This window comes from Homo sapiens, chromosome 1, assembly GCF_000001405.40.
Source record: "Homo sapiens chromosome 1, GRCh38.p14 Primary Assembly".
Taxonomy (NCBI): Eukaryota; Metazoa; Chordata; class Mammalia; order Primates; family Hominidae; genus Homo; species Homo sapiens.
In genome coordinates, this window is record NC_000001.11 from 204,197,876 (window position 1) to 204,218,554 (window position 20,679).

General features: G+C 47.2%; 1 protein-coding gene and 1 pseudogene across 2 annotated transcripts, besides 1 other annotated feature; both read right to left on the minus strand.

The window, feature by feature from the left end:
- GOLT1A (golgi transport 1A) lies at positions 288–16,113 on the minus strand. Of its 2 annotated transcripts, none has more exons than XM_017000314.2 (5): positions 16,007–16,113; positions 5,021–5,112; positions 3,758–3,936; positions 1,320–1,383; positions 288–463 (listed from the first exon to the last, which is right to left on the minus strand). In XM_017000314.2, the coding sequence occupies exons 1-5, from the start codon at positions 16,029–16,031 to the stop codon at positions 431–433; spliced, it is 393 nt and encodes a 130-aa protein (XP_016855803.1). In that variant the 5' UTR covers positions 16,032–16,113; the 3' UTR covers positions 288–430. The 2 variants fall into 2 exon arrangements, with proteins under 2 accessions (XP_016855803.1, NP_940849.1); NM_198447.2 differs by having other exon boundaries at positions 288–621.
- On the minus strand, positions 8,228–9,414 carry LOC100420418 (tripartite motif containing 60 pseudogene; annotated as a pseudogene).
- Positions 15,984–16,640: an enhancer, noted in NCBI's record as "H3K27ac-H3K4me1 hESC enhancer chr1:204182987-204183643 (GRCh37/hg19 assembly coordinates)". NCBI's record gives its function as "activates a minimal SCP1, AML or CMV promoter by ChIP-STARR-seq in primed H9 embryonic stem cells {active_cell/tissue: H9 hESC(primed)}" and the evidence as "EXISTENCE:reporter gene assay evidence [ECO:0000049][PMID:30033119]".

The window sequence follows — 20,679 nt, forward strand, 5'->3', positions numbered from 1 at the left end:
CACCCAGGCTGGAATCCAGTGGTGCGATCTCAGCTCACTGCAACCTCCGCCTCCTGGGTTCAAGCGATCCTCCTGCCTCAGCCTTTTGAGTAGCTGGAACTACAGGCACCTGCCACCACGCCCCGCTAATTTTTGTATTTTTAGTAGAGACGGGGTTTCACCATGTTGGCCAGGCTGGTCTCGAAGTTCTGACCTCAGGTGATCTGCCCACCTCAGCCTCCCAAAGTGCTGGGATTATAGGTGTGAGCCACCGCGCCCGGCCAAAGACGCCAACTCTGAGCCTTAGACACACGCACAACTTGGGAATTTAATCTTCACTTTTCCTCCCATAAATATAGAGTGAGGGTGTGATACCAGCCCCAGCCCAGTCTCCTTGGGGTCTGCATCTCTGCTTCCTGGCAGCCTCTTGAGTCGACTTGGGGATTTGACGTCAGTTGCTCAGCTCCATTCCTTCCTTCTGGACTTGGGGAGGTCCGGATATGTCGGGGAGTGAGTCAGTGCAGGGGACTGAGGGGGTGGTTCCCATTCTCCCTCTAGCCCCCTCAACCAATGATCCAAGTTCAAGGAGCTCATCTCTGTTTTTCAGACCATCGAGCTAGTGCCTTGAAGTCTCCGGAACAGCTGTGGGAGCCAAGAATCATTACTCCACACAAAGGGTAGAGAGCAGATGCAATATCTAGTTATTACAGAGCTGGCCTTGAGAGCCAGGAGCTGTGCCAGGCGCAGATACGAGAGGGGCTGTAGGGGCTGTGTCCAGCTGGCGGTTGTGGTGGGGTGCTGGCTGTAGGGTCTCCCTGGGCTCCTCAGAGAGCTCACATTCTGCCAGGTGCTTCAGAGAAAGGGATAAGGAGGGGCAGGGGCTGGATACCAGTGGCTGTGCCTATCCCCAGGAGAGGACAAAATCTGCCACCTGCAGGACAGCTTTTCCTGCTGTCATCAGCTGTCATACATTCTCTCCATGCCTGGGGCCCGCACTTAGCCAGATCCCCAGAAATCTCAGGCATGTCCTGGCTGAGTCACCTAGAGTCTCTGCGTCTTCATTTCTTTGGCTGTAAACAGGAAGCTATTCATAGCTACCTGCCTCTACAGCCACACTCAGCTACAACTGCGTCTGGATCCCCTCTCCTCATGGGCTCTTGTCAAATGGAGAAGGTGCGGGGGGAAGAGGAGCCTAAAGCACCAAACCTGGGCTAGGGGGTCTGAGGGGAGACAGGGGAGAGGCCACTGCCCCTGGGGCAGCAGTTTTACCAGCTCCCCTCCGTGTGCTCCCCCTCACTCCCCAGGGTACGCCCGCAGGGCTGCAGGCATCATCTGCTTACCGCACCCAGGAAGGGGATGTTGCAGACATTGCCCAGGAAGCCGAAGGCGACAGGGAAAAAGCCCCTAGGAGCAGAGGGGAGAAGGGAGGAGTCAGTGATGGCCCAGGAAGAGAGGATAGAGGGCACGAGGCTGAGGTCCACTGAAAGGTTCAAGCTCTGGCTTCCACACACCAGGGACAGGCTTGATTCTGCACTCCTGTGTTCCGAGAGACAGTCGAGTGACATGATTAAGAATGAAGGCCCCAGGGTCACACTCCTTGGGTTCACTTCTTGGCTCTACCACTTACTGGCACCATATACACTTGGGCAAATTCCTTAACTTCTCTGAATCTCAATTTCCAGCCATAAAATGTGGCTAACAATAACAGTATCTACATCATAAGGCCACGTACAAAGAAATGCTCAGGAAGTGCTTATTTTTATTATTGTTACTCTCATGATTATGACTCTTCTGGCCTAAAGCTTTCTTCTCTTCCTGAGATCCACCTGCCCCGGGTGTCCTGGGCCCTGGGCGTCGGGGGCTGTTGGAAGCCATGCTCACCGTTACACTCCCTGGTGCCCTGGCTCCCCCAGGCACACAGCCACCCCTGCCTTTGGCAACCCTGCTCTCATCAAAGATACCCTGCCAAGGCCTGACTGCAGACACATGCGTGACCCCTCACAGGGCTTGGAGGTGCCAAGGCTGGCATGGGAAGGGATCCCGGTGTGTGGCGGATGGGAAGGGAGATTTGAAATATGGATTCTGGCTGAGCCACTTCCTTACCGTGGGCCTCAATTTTCCAAGGTTTCACTGCACTCTGAGGTCCCTGATAGCTGTAATTTGTTTGCCTCCTGTGTTACTGCACAGTGTCTTTGTCAAGGCTGACTTTCAGTTTGAACTATTGAATTTGCTGCTGTCCCACTCCACTTTCTAAGCCCTCCATAAATGCTAACTGTTGTCAGAATTTATTTATGGGTCTTCCCTACTAAATTGTAAATTCCTTAGGAACTTTCTCCTCATTCAGTGCCACATCCTCACACCTGGCCCTGTATTTGGCATGCAGTAGGTGCTTATTATATATTTGACAATTTGAATAAGCGACTGTTTGAAAATGACATATATGTGTATATATATATATATATATATGTTTTTGTTTTTTTTTTTTTGAGAGAGAGAGTCTCGGTCTGTCACCCAGGCTGGAGGCAGTGGTGTGATCTTGTCTCACTGCAACCTTCGCCCCCTGCGTTTAAGCAATTCTTGTGTCTCAGCCTCCCGAGTAGCTGGGATTACAGGCACTTGCCACCAAGCCTGGCTAATTTTTTTTTGTATTTTTAGTAGAAACAGGGTTTCACTATGTTGGCTAGTCTGTTCTCGAACTCCTGACCTCAAGTGATCCGCCTGCCTCGGCCTCCCAAAGTGCTGGGATTATAGGTGTGAGCCACTGCACCCAGCCATAAAATGACATATTTGAATATGGAATAAATAGATGGCAGGTATGCATGAGAAACTTTAAAGCCACACTTCCCAAAGTCTCTGAGGCCTAGGCCATTCAGGCTAATCAGGGGGTTTCAGGGCTGCCTTCAGCAAACGGGGGCTCCTGTGAGAACCTGGGGATTCCTGAGCCCCACACCTTTCCATGATTGCAGAAGCCATCATTCTTCCAGGGTCCATTGTCCCAATCCCACCCCTATTCTCTCCACACCACCGTGTAGACATATGAAGTCTTCCTTCCCACCCCCACTTTCTCTGAGACTCCTTCCTTCCTTTTCCTTCAGTGCCCTCCAGTCTTCTCTTAGACCCTACCCATCCCTCAAGGCTTCTCTCAAGTCCTGCTTCCTCTATGACACTACCCTGGGCTCCCCTCTAAGTGCCTACAGGCCTGACAGTGGCCACACATCATGGCTGAGTTCCACCCTGCCTTTTCCCAGGCCCAGGGCTGACACAGGCCTGGCCAGGGGATGACACAGGGGTCAGGAGCCAGAGCTCCCTGGGTTAAGGGCGACCTTTTTCACATACTAGTTTGAGACTTTGGGCCGGGGGCAACTTCTCTGAGTGTTGGTTTCCTTATCTATGAAGTAGAGGATAATCCTATAGTGGGTTGTTGTGATAAAATAAGATGATGATCATGAGTGTGCCTGGAACATGTTAGCTCACTGCCCTTCCTCTCCGGCTGGATCACTGAGATTTGAGGGCAGGCCTCGTGTCTCTTCCCTGCTCACAGGCACAGTGCTGGGGGCACAGTGCTGGGAACACAGTCGGCACTCTATCAGTATTTGTTGATGGATGGGCTAATCCCTCCAAAGTACCCTTCAGCCTACTTTAGGGGGCCTTTCCAAGGTGTCCATGGTTCTCATCTCTTGCAGGATAAAGTCCCAGCTTCTGCACTCCCTGCTGGGGTGATCTCAGCCACTCAGACACTTTGGTGGGTCTGTCCAGGGTTATAGGGATTTGCACTCACTTAAAGAGGCTGAAGAATCCGTAGGTTTCCAGGAACATGCCGAGGAGGGGCCAGCGTAGGAGCACGATAACCACACCCCCCAGGAGGAAGCTGGTTCCCTTGAGTTTGTGCCGTTGGAAGAAGAACCAAAAGGTCTTCCTCAGGCCAATGATGAGGGACAGGCCCGTCAGGAACAGCAGCTGTAGGGGAGGGAGGGGAGCATGAAGCAAACCCACCAGCCCCCTGAGGAGTGAGGGACTTAGGCCTGGAGCCAGGCGGTGGGCTGGGACAGGATGTGCTAACTGTTCAAGACCATCTGAGCGAGGGCCATCCAGCAGTGTGGCAGAATCCCAGAGCCTTGATAAGTCTTGCTGGCTGGGAACAGGACTGCGCAGAGGCAGGGGGATGGATGAGAAACCTTTGACGGTTTCTAGTTGCCTACCCAATTCCCTGGAGCCCAAGCATTTTTCATATGGGACTTGGTTTCTCACCATACCATCTGGGGAAGATGGAATCGGGAGGGATTTTTATTCCAAAGAAGTGAAGATTGAGGCCTAAGTAGGTTAGGCAGCCATACTGAAAGTCACACAGAACCTTCAGAGGCTCCACTGCCTACAGAATAACCCTCCAGTCCCTCCCCTGGATGCCCTATCACCGTCTTCAGCTTGGCTCCTAATGAATCCCTTAAGAGTGCCCAGGCTCTCATCAAATTGAACTCTCTGGTTTTCTTCCAGCATATCCCATGCTTCCCTGCTCCTTCCCCACACCTTTTCTCCTGCTGTTCCAATCCCCCTGGAAGTGCTTTATTCACCTCCACACCCATTTCCTTTCCAAATTCCTCTCCACCATTCTCCAATTCAGTGTGCCCTCTTTCCACTAAGCCCCTTGTTTCATACTAAATGTGTTTACCATGGCCCCTGCCTTCCTCCCAGCCATGTATGTCATGTTATATCTCTAGCCCTAGAGTGGGATTCAGATGGCAGGGACAGTGTCTGAGTCCTCTTAGAACCCCCAGGGTCTCGCCCAGAGCTCGGTGTGAGAATCCAGGTCCTCAGATTCTTGGTGCCAGCGGGCTCTGCGTCCATTTCCTGTGCCCTCCTCTGCCCAGGCTTGATGATGTCTGACCCCTGGATAGGCATGGTCTGAATAAACTTGGGATTTACTTAAGGGATTTATTTAAAGACTTAAATAAACTGTAAGTCTTTATTGCCAGGACTATCCTGGCAATAGAGACTTCAGAAAGGTTGGGGCAGGGGAGTGGGGACACAGGGCTGGGAGACTCACGTTTCCAAAGGCCAGGAGCACGGAATCAAAGTACAGGAGTGTTCCAAAGAGGATGAAGAAGATGCCGAAACCGGTGATCCCCACACCAATCTCTGCAATGGGCAAGGAGGTGGTGGAGGAAAGGGCTTTGGGGAGCAGGTGGGGACCCTGAAACTTCCCCCATTGCCACAGGACAGGTGCCCTCTATGGGGGTGACTCCACTTCCATCCAGGAATCTCAGCTTTCATGCTCTCAGGGGATGGTGGGATGGGAAGGGGAAGGTAGGATGGCATGAAGCTTTGTCTGGCACCTGGGAACTGTGCTGTCACTTCTGTACACAGTGGCATGCTGTCCTCACTGCAGCCCTGTGTGGAAGCTGGTGCTGCCCTGACCACTTTATACTCTCAGCCTCCTCTTGTCCTCAAAAGCCACATTATCCACATCAGTATCAAGGCTGAACATAGCATCTGCTGCCTCTGCTCCTGCCTTGTGCAACTGAGAACCACTGGAGCCCAGCCCACACTGCGCAGAAGGGAGCCACTGAAAACTCAGGACCACCAGCTCCAAAGAGCCTCAGAACCACCCAGCTCTCCTGGTCCTTACTCAAGAGGCTGGCCCGCCTGAGCAACTCTCCACACTGCCTCCTTCCTCCTCAGAATTGCCCTGTCTCCACTCTCAGGTGGTGACATTTCCCACTGGATTGGGAAAACAGAAGTCATCAGTTAGGAATGCATTCCTCTTCTCAGCTGGGACCTATATCCAAGACCCAAGCCTGCACCTGCTCCCATTGTCCTCCCTCCCTCCTGCAGCAGGCACCTTGCGGGCCCCCCACACACTCTTCGGCCAACTCTCATTTCAGCCCAGTGGCTTTGGGCAGTTCTGCCGAGGTTGGACCCACACTGACAATGAGCCCCCATTCCCAAGGTTTGACAGTGAGCCCCCATTCCCAAGGTTTGACAGTAAGCCCCCATTCCCAAGGTTTGTAAGTGTCTCAGGGCATTCTTTGAAGCTGCAGGAGTTCACTCAGAGCCAGCAAGCGTAGCCTAGAAGTGCAGGACATGAAGGCCCCCTCGTTTGGTCAAGGGCTACATTTTTGACATTTTGATAAACATATTTCAGATCGCTCCCCTCAAGACGATTTGTACAATAACCGGATATATAGTTCCTTTTTTCCTTAACCCTCTCCAGCACTCAGAATTGTTCATTTTACTTATCTTTGCCACTATGATAGTCAATAAATAAAAATTCATTCTGTTGCTTTGTTTTTAAATTGTTACCTTTTTAAGTTTTAAATTGTGGCAACGTGCACATAAAATGAGACTTACCATCTAACCATTTAAAAATGTACAGTTCAGTGGTATTAAGCGCATCTCCTGAATTCTTCGTCTTGCAAAGCTGAAACTCTACACCCATTAAACAGTAGCTCCCCATTCCCCTCCCACCAGCCTCCAACAACCACCATTTTACTTTCTCTATGAATTTTTGACTACTCTGGGAACCTCCTATAAGTGGAATCATACAATATTTGTCTTTTTGTGACTGTCTTATTTCACTTATCATAACGTTCTCAAGGTTCCTTCATGTTGTAGCATGTGTCTGAATTTTCTTCCTTTTTAAAACAGAATAATAGTCCATTGCTATCTGTACCCTGCATTTTGTTGATCCATTCATCTGTTGATGGACATCTGGGTGGCTTCCATCCATCTCTTACCTATTGTAAATAGTGTTACCATAAATATGAGCATAAGAAAATATCTCTTCAAGACACTGCTTCCGATCCTTTCAGGTATATACCCCACAAAGTGGAATTAACGGAATTATACTGGATCACATGGTAATTCTATTTTTAATTCTTTGAGGAATTGCCATTTTGTTTTCCATTGTGACTGCACCATTTAACATTCCCAGCAACAGTACACAAGAGTTCTAATTTCTCCACATCTTGCCAATACTTTATCTGTTTTGTTTTGTTTTGATAGCAGCCATGCTAATGGGTATAAGGTAGTATACATTGTGGTTTTGACTTACATTTCCCTAATGATTAATGATTAATGATCTTTTCATGTGCTTGTTAGCTATGTGTATATCTTCTTTGGAGAATTGTCTAGTTAAGTCCTTTGCCTATTTTTTAAACAGGTTGTTCTTTTTGTTGTTGAGTTGTAGGAGTTCTTTATATATTTTGGATATTAACTATGTAGCGTATGATTTGCAAATATTTCCTCCCACTCTGTAGGTTACCTTTCAGTCTGTTGACTGTGTCCTTTGATGCGGTGAAGTTTTAAATTTTGATGTAGTCTGATTGATGTCTTTTTTTTCTTTTGTTGTCTGTGCTTTTCATGTCATAACCTAGAAATCATTATCAAATCCAGTGCTGTAATGCTTTCCCCTATTTTTTATTCTAAGAGTTTTATAGTTTTAGCTCTTATTTTTAGGGCTTTGATCTGCTTTGAGTTACTTTTTGCAGATAGTATAAGGTAAGGATCCACCTGCATCTTTTGCATGTGGATATCCAGTTTTCCCAGCACTATCTGTTGGAAAGACTGTTCTTTCCCCATTTCATGGTCTTGATGCCCTCGTCAAAAATTTTACTGGACTTGTTAGAATCAGTTCTCATAACCTCTATGAAATTGGTATTATTATTATGCTTTTGCAGATAGTTGTTAAAAGTGAGGGGAAAAATTATTCTGGTGTTTAGAGGCAGAATTGTAAAAACAAAAACAAAATTATCAAGACTAGATTTACTGGCTGAGTTTTATTTACAACTGAAAGAAAATGAAACAACATAATCATCTTCTGGGTAGTTAATCCATCATCTGTTGCTATGCAGATTTTAAGAGGATTAGGATCAATTCCAATACAGAAAAAAGGTCAAAGAGCTTCTTTAAAAGAATCATCAAAAATACAGCAATGAAGCCAGGTGCTCAATGGCTCACACCTGTAATCCCAGCACTTTGGGAGGCTGATGTGGGTGGATCACTTGAAGTCAGGAGTTCAAGGCCAGCCTGGCCAACATGGTGAAACCCCGTCTCTACTAAAAATACAAAAATTAGCTGGACATGGTGGCATGCGTCTCTAGTCCCAGCTACGTGGGAGGCTGAGGCAGGAGAATTGCTTGAACCCGGGAGGTGGAGGTTGCAGTGAGCCGAGATTATGCCACTGCACTCCAGCCTGGGTAACAAGAGCAAAACTCCATCTCAAAAAAAAAGAAAACAGAAAAATACAGTGATAAGATCTAGCATTCAAATTATAGACTGAAACCTTGCTCAACTCATAGTCTGGTATCATGCCAGTCTTACTGGATCTCACTTTTGGCAGAAGCTGGATTTTGTTGGGACCCAGTGTAACATAATTTCTCTCAACATATCACCCAGCTGCCCAGAATCCATTTTCTACTAAAAGCTGATTCCTTGTGTTCCTGACAAGCCTCGTGATCTATTTGGGCTTGTTTCCTACTTCTACCTCCTCCTGCTGGCCTGAATTAAATCTCTTAGAAGCTGGGACAGCTCAGCAGAATATCACCCCCATGGGTCATGATGAAGGTTGTGTTTTGTCAACATTTCCATCCTCAGAGACAACACATTGAGAATCTAGAGTTACATCTACCTGAATTACCAAGATAATTTCGTGTAGGTCAGAATATTGTGGAGGAAGACCACAGTCATCTTTCTTTAACCCAAATGATAAAAGTGTTTTAGGTTTTTATGCTTGTTATAAAATATCTGTTGTTGGCTTATGCCTGCCATAAAAACATCTGTCATTGATTTCAGCTCTGACTATACACCCTTTCCTCCCCCTCAGTAGGTGTATTTGTGTGGAAACACGATGTGCACATTTTACGGGGTTTTCATTTCGTTTTGTTGAACTTTCTATATGTTCATCCTGCACACACTTAAGAACAGCCTCATACTCATTTTGTGGAAACAGCGTAAGTTTCTCACATTCACACATGATGTCCATTCTCCTGTTTATTCCTTCTTCTTCTGCAGCAGTGATTTGCTGGCTGCCATAGTTATCCCTCCTCCACCTGTTCTACACTCTTCTTTAAGGGCAGATGCAATTCCAGGACTCTCCTGTGATGGGGGCAGCCTTCTTTATGGGCCACACTTAGTGCTCTCAGTGCTCAGTGGGACACGAAACCCCACAGAAAAGGGTCAGAAACTCTGTTTCTCACACACAAGCTTCAGACCCGCCTTTGCCTCTTGCTTCTGGAGTAGCTTAGCTATTTTAGTCAAGTTATCCAGCCAGAGGTTACTCCTAAAGTTCTTTTCAGGCAGCAACCATGGCAGAAAGAGTGGAGGGGTGGGGATGTCATACAGATGCCCCCAGGAGTGACAGGTGTGCCTGCCCGGCACGGTCCCCGTGATCCAGACAGATTGGGCAGCGCGCCCTCTGCTGGAGGCGGCCAGGGCTGTCACGCCTACACCCAGCCGAAAAAAGCTGGGAGGCCAAGGTAACTTCAGGGAGGCCCGGCTCTCCAGGCGCCACCTAGAAGTGGAGACCTCCCCAGACCTCAGAGACCAGCTTTAGATCTCCCTGGCAAGGTACACTGATGGCTGCACTGGTGCCCTTGTTTAGCTCCTTGCTCTGCAACTCCCGAGTTGCTGCCAAGAAGAGCCCATGGCCACCCGATACGGACAAGCCAGGCTTCCCTGACTCCCCATTTTGTGGCTCACTTTAAGAAAAGCCAGGTTCAATGTCTTTCTTGCTCCAGAAATCAGCTACAGCTCCAAGAAAACAATATCTCATGGAGCAGGCAGATGAGTCCTTCTGGCCTCAGGCACGCAGTGAGTCTCAGAACATCATCGTCTTTTTTCCCCCTTTTCCTTTTCTTAAAGCAATCACACATGTACAGGAAACTTGCAAGTACAGTACAAAGAATATTTTTCTTGAACCATTTGAAAGTAGTTGCCACCTCATACCTCATCACCCCTGAATGCTCTGGTGTGGTTTTTAAAACTCCTGGACACTAAGGACATGAATAGACAATTCTCAAAAGAAGATATACAAACAGCCAACAAACATGAAAAAATGCCCAACATCACTAATGATCAGGGAAGTGCAAATCAAAACCACAATGTGATACCACCTTACTCCTGCAAGAATGGCCATAATCAAAAAACAAACAAACAAAAATAAATGTTGGCGTGGATGTGGTGAACAGGGAACACTTCTACACTGCTGGTGGGAATGTAAACTAGAATAGCCACTATGGAAAACAGTGTGGAGATTCCTTAAAGAACTAAAAGTAGAACTACCATTTCATCCAGCAATCCCACTACTGGGTATCTCCCCGGAGGAAAATAAATCATTATACGGAAAAGATACTTGCACATGCCTGTTTCTAGCAGCACAGTTTGGAATTGCAAAAATATGAAACCAGCCCAAATGCCCATTAGTCAATGAGTGTATAAATAAATTGTGATGTGTATATATATACACACACATATACATATATATGTATACATATATACACACATGTATGTATATATGTGTGTATCTATACACATATACACACATATGTATACATATATGTATATATGTATACATATGTGTATATGTATACATATGTGTGTATATATGTATACTTGTGTGTGTGTGTGTGTATATATATATATATATATATATATAAAAAATGAACTACTACTCAGTCACAAAAAGGAATGAAATAATGGCATTCGCAGCAACCTGGATGGAATTGGAGATCATTATTCTAAGTGAAGTGACTCCGGAATGGAAAAGCAAACATCATATGTTTTCACTCACAAGTGGGAGCTAAGCAATGAGGATGCAAAGGCATAAGAATGATACAATAGACTTTGGGGACTCATGGGAAAGGGTAGGAGGGGCTGAAGGATACAAGACTACACATTGGGTACAATGTACACTGCTCGGGTGATGGGTGCACCAAAATCTCAGAAATCACACTAAAGAACTTATTCATGTAACCAACCACCTGTTCCCCAAAAACCTATTGAAATAAACAAGCAAACAAAAAATTCTCCTAAACAGCCAACATACAGCCATCAAAATTGGGACACTAACATTGATATGTGACTATCCTCCAACCCTCAGACTCCATTTAAGTTTCATCAGTTACTCCAGTAGCATCATTTATAGCAAAATAATCCAGTTCATCATTCTGTGTGGTATTTAATGATCATGTCTCTTTAAACTCTTCTGTCTGGAACAGCTCCTTGGTCTTTCCTTGGCATGACCTTGACACTTTTGAAGATTCAGGCCACTTATTCTGTAGCCATCCCTCCATTTGGGTTTGTCGGATGTTTCCTCACGACTAGCTTCAGGTTATGCATCTTAGGCAGAAATAGCACAAGATGTGATGCTGTATTTTTCTCACTGCATCCTGGTAGGTGGTGCAAGATGTCAATTTGCCCCATAGCTGATAATGTTTCTTTATTCTTAAGGCAGTATCTGCCAGGCCCCTCACCACCCCATCCCTGACCCTGCAGGGGATGCTTTGCCTATGATACTTTGTACCAGGCCACCCCTAGTGTGAACACCCTTCTCACCCTGCTGGGGTTCTAACACCCCACTCTGGGCACCGCCTTCTCTGTGTTAAACCTAATGGCTTTAAGACTGAATTGTTCAGGAAGAGGAAGGAGGGAAATAAGGAGAGAAAGAGCCTCATTCACTTTTTAAAATTAGCAATAGTGATTGATAGTGTAATGAACATACTGGGCCAGGCACAGTCTAAGCACATATATGCTTTAAGTATATTAACACATTTAATTTTCATAACTACCTGTGACATAGGTACTACTATTAGCACCATTTCACAAACAAAACTGAAACACAGAGGTTAAGTCACTTGCCTGGGGATACACAGCAGCTGGCAGAAGCAGGATTTGAACTTAGTCTTGAGCTCCAAACAGTGCCTTTTGGGCAGGCACGGTGGTTTACACCTATAATCCCAACACTTTGGGACGCCGAGGTGGGTGGATCATCACCTGAGGTCAGGAGTTCGAGACCAGCCTGGCCAACATGATGAAACCCCGTCTCTACTAAAAATACAAAAAATTAGCCGGTGAGGTGGCGGGCACTTGTAATCCCAGCTACTTGGGAGGCTGAGGCAGGAGAATCGCTTGAACCCGGGAGGCAGAGGTTGCAGTGAGCCAAGATCATGCCATTGCACTCTAGCCTGGGCAACAAGAGTGAAACTCCATCTCAAAAACCAAAAACAAAACAAAACAAAAAATAAAAAGTGCCTTTAACCAACCCAGTCCAGTCCACTTCTGCAGGCAATGCTCTTGCCTTGGCCATTAATGACCTTCATGTTACCAGATCCAATGGGCAGGTGTGAACCATCATCTGTTAGAACTGACCACTGCCGTGTTGAAACAGCCTTTCTCTTGGTTTGTGCACAACACGTTCTTGATTTTCTTCCTACTGCTCTAACTGCCCTTTCTCTGTCTCCTCTGCCAGCTCCTACTTCTCTCTCTTCTTCTTGGGATTTGAATTGCACAGGGCTTGTGCCCAAGCTCACTTCTCTTCTCATTCTATTTCCACATGTATTCCCATGTGTTTATTTTTGTTTTTAATTTTGTCTTAAAGCTGGGATCTCGCTCTGTTGCCTAGGCTGGAGTGCAATGGCACAATCATAGCTCACTGCAGCCTTGAACTCCTGGGCTCAAGGGATCCTTCTACCTCAGTCTCCTGAGTAGCTGGGACTACAGGCACTTGGCCACCATGCCCAGCTAATTTTTTAAAATTGGTTTAAATTTTTTTGTTGTTGAGACAGGGGTTTTGCAATGTGCTCAGGCTGGTCTTGAACTCCTGGCCTCAAGCGATCCTCCCAAAGTGCTGAGATTACAGGCATGAGCCACCACACCCAGCCTCTCACGTCTTCAAACCTCCCTTGTATGCTGATGACACTGATGTCTCTCTTTCTAGTCCATGCCTCTCTTTGGGCTTTGAAACTCATATCTAGCTGCTTACTTGGCATATCTGCCTGGTTTTCTCTCAGCCATCTTGAACTGGGCTAATCTTCAATCCCAAACTGGTCTATTTATCTTCCCTCCTTCAACTTGTGCCTCCCTTGGTTGTCCTCAAATGAGTAAACATGTCACCACCGCCCACCCCACCACTTAACGCAGAAGCCCACCCCTCCCCCATGAAATCCACAGCTAAGTTTTCTTTTCTTCTTCCAAGATACATGTTGAAAGCTGTCCATTTCTCTCCATTCTTAACACCTAATTCCCGGCCACGATCATCTCTTTCCTGGACGTATGCAGCAGCCCCCATTTGGCCTCCTGCTTTATTCCTGCACCCTCCCAGTCCTTCTCCACACGGCGCTCAAAGGTCTTGCAAAACATACAACCTGATCATGTTAGCATACTGCCTAGACTCCTTCACGGCTGCCCACTGAGATTAGACTGCAGCAGAGCCTTCTCATCCACACCACAGCTCACAGGCCCTGCCTGGTGGGGCCCAGGCCTGCCTGCCCACCTCATCTCCTGCCACTGTCCCTATTGCCTGCCATGCTCCAACCACACTGTTCTCCATGGCTTCCATGTGAGCCCTCTTGACTCAGGGCCTTCGTACATGCAGTTTCCTGGTCTGCAACACCCTGCCTCTCACTTGTTACTTGACAATGCATCCTCATCATTCAGGTCTCAGCTGAAATGTCAGTTGCTCAGGGAAAGCTGGTCCACTCTCTTCCCTGACCTAAATCCCTCATTTCTCTCTCTCACAGGACTTGCTTATCATATTTGGTAAGAGTATATTACTTGCAGGCTAATTGGTTTAACAAAGTGTCAGCGTGCCACTGGGTTGAGGACCCAACCCACCTCTCTCTATATTTTTATTCGCCAGGTCCATGATTCTCAACTGGGCTGAGGGGATTGTGGGTGGGGAAGCGGGGTGCGGGATGGAAATTTGTTTCCCAGGGGACATCTGGCAATGTTTGAAGACATTTTTTATTGTCACAACTTGGAGTGGGGGTGCTACTGGCATGTAGTGGATAGAGGCCAGGGATGCTGCTGATATCCTATAATGTACAGGACAGGCCCCCACAACAAAGAATTATCCTGCCCCAAAATGTCAATAGTGGGGAGGTGAGAAACTGTGCCTGCCCTCGGTGATCTCATGGATGCTCATAGTCCTAAAAACCATGTATATGCAGATTATTCCCACATTTCTGTCTCCAGCCCAGGCCTCTACCTGGAACTCCAGACTCACATACCCAACCACCTACCTGACATCTCACCCGGATGTCTAACAGCACAAACAGACTCAACACATCTAAAGCCCAATTCCTGCTTCCCCCCACTCAACCCTTCCCATTGCACAGGCTAAAAAATATACAAGGCATTCTTGACTCCTCTTTCTCTCACACCCTATGTCCAAACCGTCAGCAAATCCTCAACGCTTTCCTCAAGGCAGATCCAGCATGGACCACGCCCCGCTAATCTCCTGCTAACACCTTGGTCTCCACCTTCACACACTCAGGACTGGCTTCCCTGGCTGGGCGCGGTGGCTCACGCCTGTAATCCCAGCACTTTGGGAGGCTCAGGCAGGTGGATCACTTGAGAAGTCAGGAGTTCGAGACCAACCTGGTAAACGTGGAGAAACCCCATCTCTACTAAAAATACAAAAATTAGCCAGGTGTGGTGGTGGGTGCCCGTAACCCCAGCTACTTAGGAGGCTGAGGCAGGAGAATCGCTTGAACCCAGGAGGTGGAGGTTGCAGTGAGCAGAGATCATGCCACTGTACTCCAACCTGAGCGACAGAGTGAGACTCTGTCTCAAAAAAAAAAAAAAAAAAAAAGAACTGGCTTCCCTGCTGCTGCCTTCATACCTCCACAGTCTATTCTCAACCCAGCACCCAGAATGATCTTTTAAACATAGAAATAGAACATATCACACCATAGCACAAAACCAAGGTCATTACCATGGTCTATAAGTCTCCAGTGTCCTGACCCCTCAGTGACATCCCTGACCTAAACTCCTATGATTCTCCCCTCACCTCACTTTGCTCCAGGTATACCCACCTCCTTGTTGTTCTTCAAACACACCAAGTATGCTAATGCCTCAGGGCCTTTGCACTGCCTGTCCCTGCTTCCTGAACATTTCCCCTCCAGAGAGCTGCGTGGCTTTGCTTCCTCACTTCCTATAGATCTCTGAAAAAAGATCTGAATAAAGGCTCACCTTCTCAGTGAGGCTTCCCTGACCACTCTATATAAAATAGCGACCCCTCCTACCTCGAACTCCATAGCCTCCTCTTGTTTTATTTTCATCTGGAGGACTTATCATCTTCTGATATACTATATACTTCTTTCTGTTAATTACCTGTCTCCCCTCTCTAGAATGTAAGCAGGGAGTCAGTTTCATTTAATGTTGGACACTCTATATCCAACACAGTGCTTGGCACACAGCAGAGACAAATCTGTTGAGTGAACAAAAGAATGTTGTCACCAATTCTCAGATGAAAAACCAAGGCTCAGAGGCTTTAAGTAACTCACCCAAATGAAGCCCACAGAGCCACGGTTCTTCCCATGGCCCCAGACTTGTTCCAAGACCTCCTCCCTACCTCTTCCCCCAAAAGAAGGGGAAGGATGTTTAGGAGTGAGGGTATGGTGGTTTGGTCAGGGGAGTGGAGTTTAGTTTTTTATAAGAAGCCCCCAGGGCCACAGGAGACCTTGATGGTGTGGGGAAAGATGTCTGAATGGGCAGAGGCCTCCTGAGTCCACCTTTGTGGCAACCCAGTTCTAAGAACCCGGGATGGGAAAGGGGTCAGTGTGAATGGGGAACCTGCCAGGCCCCCTGGGCACCAGCCTCTAGCTACCTGTGGGCCCTGAGCAACTCCCACCCGCTGGAGGGTAGGGAGCCACACCCCACCCTGCCTGCTGCCCCAGGGTGCCAGCACAGCATCTCCCAGCCCCTGGCTCCAGAGGTCACGCTTGTAGTGACAGAGAGCCCAGCTGGGAGAGAGAGCCAGCCGGCAGGGAGCCTGGCCTGGATAGCCCATTGCAGCCCCGCTCATCCCACTTACTCTGCCATTCGGTGATGGAGATCATGCCGCACTCAGCCTGGGGGGCTTTCCGGGTGGAAGCGGGCAAGTGGAGCGTGGCCCAGAGGACGCAGCTGGTACATGGTCACGGGAAGCTGACCCTTGGTTAAGTTGCGAAATGAGCCTGTGGCAAATCATTAACTCTCCCTCCAGCCCCCGCTCCACCCCCGCACACCACGCAGGTGCTTCTACTCGCCAGCTCCCTCCTCCCGTTTTCCGGTAGGGCAATGCCCCGCCCCTCCACCTGCCGCGCCTGCCCGGGGAAGGCACCGCCCACCTGACCCTTTCCTCGCACCTCGCGGTGTTCTGCGGCTCTCGTCTGCTCCGCGAAACTTAGATTGTATGTGGAAGCATTGGAATCTAGGGGGTGCTCAAGTTTCTTGCTTGGTTTGATAGTGTGGGAAGAGTTGGCATCTGCGCATCCCTTTGGGAATGTACTAAATTCATCTTGAAAGTCAAGCTTTTTGCTCTCTGCTATTGCACATGCTAGGCGCTGGGAGGCGATGAGCGACTGAGCACAAAGCCTGTTGTTGACCTAATGGCAGAGCCAGATCGGGTTAAATCAATGGCAAAAGCGCCATGGGGGAAGTTAGACGTGAAGGTCTTCGACCTCCTTTCCCCAAGCGGCGTCCAAGCTTTGGACTGACTGTGATGTTGAGCTATGGAAGACAAAGCCCTGAATTTGGGGTTGGGGCAGGACTGCACAATTTAGGAGGCCTGGTTCTAGTCTACCCACCAGCTGTGTAGACATGGATTCGTCCTTTGGGCCTGCAAAAAGAGAGGCAGTTAGTTCCTAACATCCTTTTTTCCCATCGCAGAGCAGTGGTTCTGACGTGGCATTGATGCCAGGAGAGCCAACATCCACTTTGCAATGTCTTCTGTGTCCAGAAATGAAGAAATGAATTTCAAAGACTACCTATATACATCATTTAAAAATGCAAATAGGCCTGGCATACAAAATGCATTATGTCTGTAATCCCAGCATTTTGGGAGGCCAAGGCAGGAGGATTGCTTGAGCCCAGGAGTTTGAGACCAGCCTGAGCAACATAGTGAGACCTTGTCTCTACAATAATAAAAATAAAAAATTAGCCGGATGTGGTGGTACCTGCCTGTAGTCCCAGCTACTGGGGAGGCTAAGGTAGGAGGATTGCTTGAGCCCAGAAGGTCGAGGCTGCGATGAGCTGTGATCAAGCCATGCACTCCAGCCTGGGTAGCAGAGCGAGATCCTGTCTCAAAAAAAAACAAACCAAACAACAACAACAAAACCAAGGAAAGCTAACATAATTTTTTAAAAAGAAACAAAAAGATAAATTATAATAAAACATGATGTCTTTCAATATATAAATGTTCAGGCAAGACTTACCAGAAGACATAAATGAAATAGGCAGATTGCTTGCACCCACACATAATATATGTTTGAATTTAAGAGAAATAGAAGATGAGCCATTCTATGCAAAAACAAAAATCACACACATGCAAGAAAATGAAAGAGTAGCAGGAAGTGAACATAGAATAAAAACTGTTAGATAAGGAATAACAGACCAGACGTACTTGCATATGATGAGAGGGAAAGCATCTTAATTGAAATAGGGATAACATAGCAAGGCAAATTAGAGAGCACAAGGTGGAGATAATATAGAAGTATGATGTGCATGCAAAGGAACTCAGTCTTAGGTATGTGTGTATTGTCAAAATAGCTCCCATGGAATGGGGTCGCCATAGAGTACCACAGACACATCAACCTCTGTCTTGAAACATATCAGCGTTGAGGTAAAATTCAGTCTCTGGGATCTTAAAAGGCCTTAGAGATCACATATTTCCAATGGGCAATGGGGGATAGAGGATGGATTGGGAAAAGAAAAGAAGATAAAAGTGGTTTAGAGCAATTGCATGTGGACACCCGGGACAGTGTTGTAAAGACAGGACACAACATTTCCACACATAATTATGACAACATAGCATCCTTGGGCTCCAAAAAAACTAAACATATAAAGGATGGCAATAATATGAAATAAACCCTAAAAACTTTTATTAAGGAAACTCAGTGAGATCTTCTGCATCTCAAGTGTCTCTGATTCCATGTTTGCTTCTCTCACATATCCTCTGTTAAATATTTTCAGTCAATTTCTTCGTTTATTCAGTATCACCTACTGATCAGAACTGTTTTCAATCAAATACATAGTAGCTGAAATCTTATAATCCTTTGTGTAGACAATGCATGGAGTAGATTATTCAATAATTTTAAGACAATGTCTTTATTCCTTTTAAGCTTCTGCTCCATAATAACCATCTCCTAACTTTCTGAGTGTTCATGAAATTTATTTTTAAAAGCTTACAAAACCTTTTGGTATTACTGTCAATTGAAGTATGACCAACTTTTACTGGTAGTGGGTTTAGTTCAGTTGTACATTCGAAAGTAGTACAGGATATGGGACAATTCTTTGTTTTGGAAATCTGTCCTGTGCATTGCAGTCTCGAAATGCCAGCAAGAGTTTTGCACCCTTATGATTGAGACAACCAAATGCCCCTAGGGGCCAGAATCATCCCTGTTGAAATCACTCGTAGGTTAAGAGCTTCATCCTGGCTTCGTGAAGCCTTGGGCATTTTATTTATCCTTTCTGTGCCTCAGCTTCTTGGATAATTATAGTACCTATGACTGACATAGAGGATGAGGATTCATGAGTAAATGCATGTGAAGTGCATAGAACCAGGTACCTGGCACATAGTAAGCACTTAATGAACCACTGTTATTCCTGTTACTGTATAGTTATAATAATTACTATTGTTATTAATGTTATTATTAGTATACTGTTAATATGCTTTATATGAAAGACTTCTACTGTCATCTCAAATTGTGGTGCTAAACCACTCCCGCAGGTGTATAAAATAGCAACTGGGGATGCCCCTTCCTGCCCCCACCCCCAGCCATGGAACCCACCTGTGAGCTCAGGAGAATTAAACGCTCATGATACTGGGCCCTCCGGGCCTGATTCTCTGGGTACTGGAGCTAAGCCCAGAGGCGCTGTCCACAACTCATCCTTCTGGAGAGGGACCTTCATAGGGACAACGCCGGGAAGGCTGGTGCTAGTCCTCGACCCATGGCAGTCTCATGACCCTGCCATGATGAGAAAAGTGTGGGGTAGTGCAGTTACTCCCTGGGCTGGAGGCATAGAAGTGGCAGGGGAGGGACACCTCAGGGATGGCACGGGCCCTGGTGATGTCTTCCAGCAAAGGCTGTAGAGCTAGTAAAGGAGGGGTCCTGGAAAACCTTCTCCCTCTTCCCACATCAGGCCCCTGCAGGTGGCCAGGGAGCCTTTGCAACATCACCACTTCCACTTCCTCACATTTGGAAGTGAATTTGAGTTTTCAAAGTGATTTTCATCCATTTTCTCATTTGTCTTTCTTGAAAGTTCCATAAGATGGTGGTTAATATACCCATTTTCCAGATGAGGGAACTGAGACTCAAGAATTTAATGACTTGTCCAAATCTTCATGCAGCTAGCAAGGAGCATGTTGCTAGGGGCAGGAGTTGAGGATGACATGCCACCTTCTCTCATTGGTCTCAGTAACGAGGTGAGGCTCGGGATGAGGAGGGGGACGTGGCGTGGCCCCAGTTCCCTGGCAGCAGCAGGGTCTGAGGCTTGGCTGCCTGCCTGACCCTGTCGTGCCTGTCTTCAAGAATAAATAAGTGATCATGCAGTTACACAGCTCTGCTCCTTAAAGGACATTCTGCTATTGCATTTTCATTTACATTTCTCAGCTACTACCCCCTTTTTACAAATCCCAACCTGGCTTGATCTGGTAGGGGATGGAGCAGGCACCAGCTGGCATCATCTCTTGAGAGGAGGAGGCAGCCCTTGTCGGTGGATGCAGTGATGCCCGGTGGTACTCTGTGGTCTCACATTCCACCTCCTCCCCAAGCCCTTGCCACTGGCTCTGGCTCAGATGGAGCCTGAAGATAAAGGCTCAGCCCCCCAGAAAGTGACGAGTTCTCCAATATGCATCCCCCTACCCCAGCCTCTGATGCAGGCCCTCCCCCAGAGCCTACATCTGGTCACAACTCTCCCGGGTTCACAAAGGACATCATCCTGGGGATGTGACAAAATCCAAAATAGAGTCGAATCTTAAAAATGACCTCCCCCGTACTAGCCCTTAGAAATGGGAACAGGTGTCCAGAATTCAGCTTCAGCCATGAAAGCCAAGCCGATGCAAGATCAGGAATTAGAGGAAGCTTGCTTTCTCATCTCTCCTTCTCGCTTTTTCTTGAGCCATCCCTCCCTCGGACAACATGCAGAAGCCCCGCTGAGCCTGCCAGTCTCCCGGGCGCACCTCTTCTCTTCCACTACCCACCCCACAAAATTTACCAGGCTTCTTGACTCTTGGTCCCCACAGTAAGATTCCAAATTGAGAAGCACTGGTAAAGCCCTTCACACAGAGTGTCAATACCTGATAACCACAAAACACCTGCCAAGAGAAATAAACCAAAGGGATGGAGGCAGAATGAGAACTGGGGTGGTCTCATACCTCCCACCAAATTATACAACTTCTTGTAAAGCAGCAATATAGCGCATTGTGTAGTAATCAAGAAAGGCTGGGAATTCATTCTCTTCTCCTGCTGTCCTGTCCTTTGTATGAGTCAAACCAAGGGAAGGTGC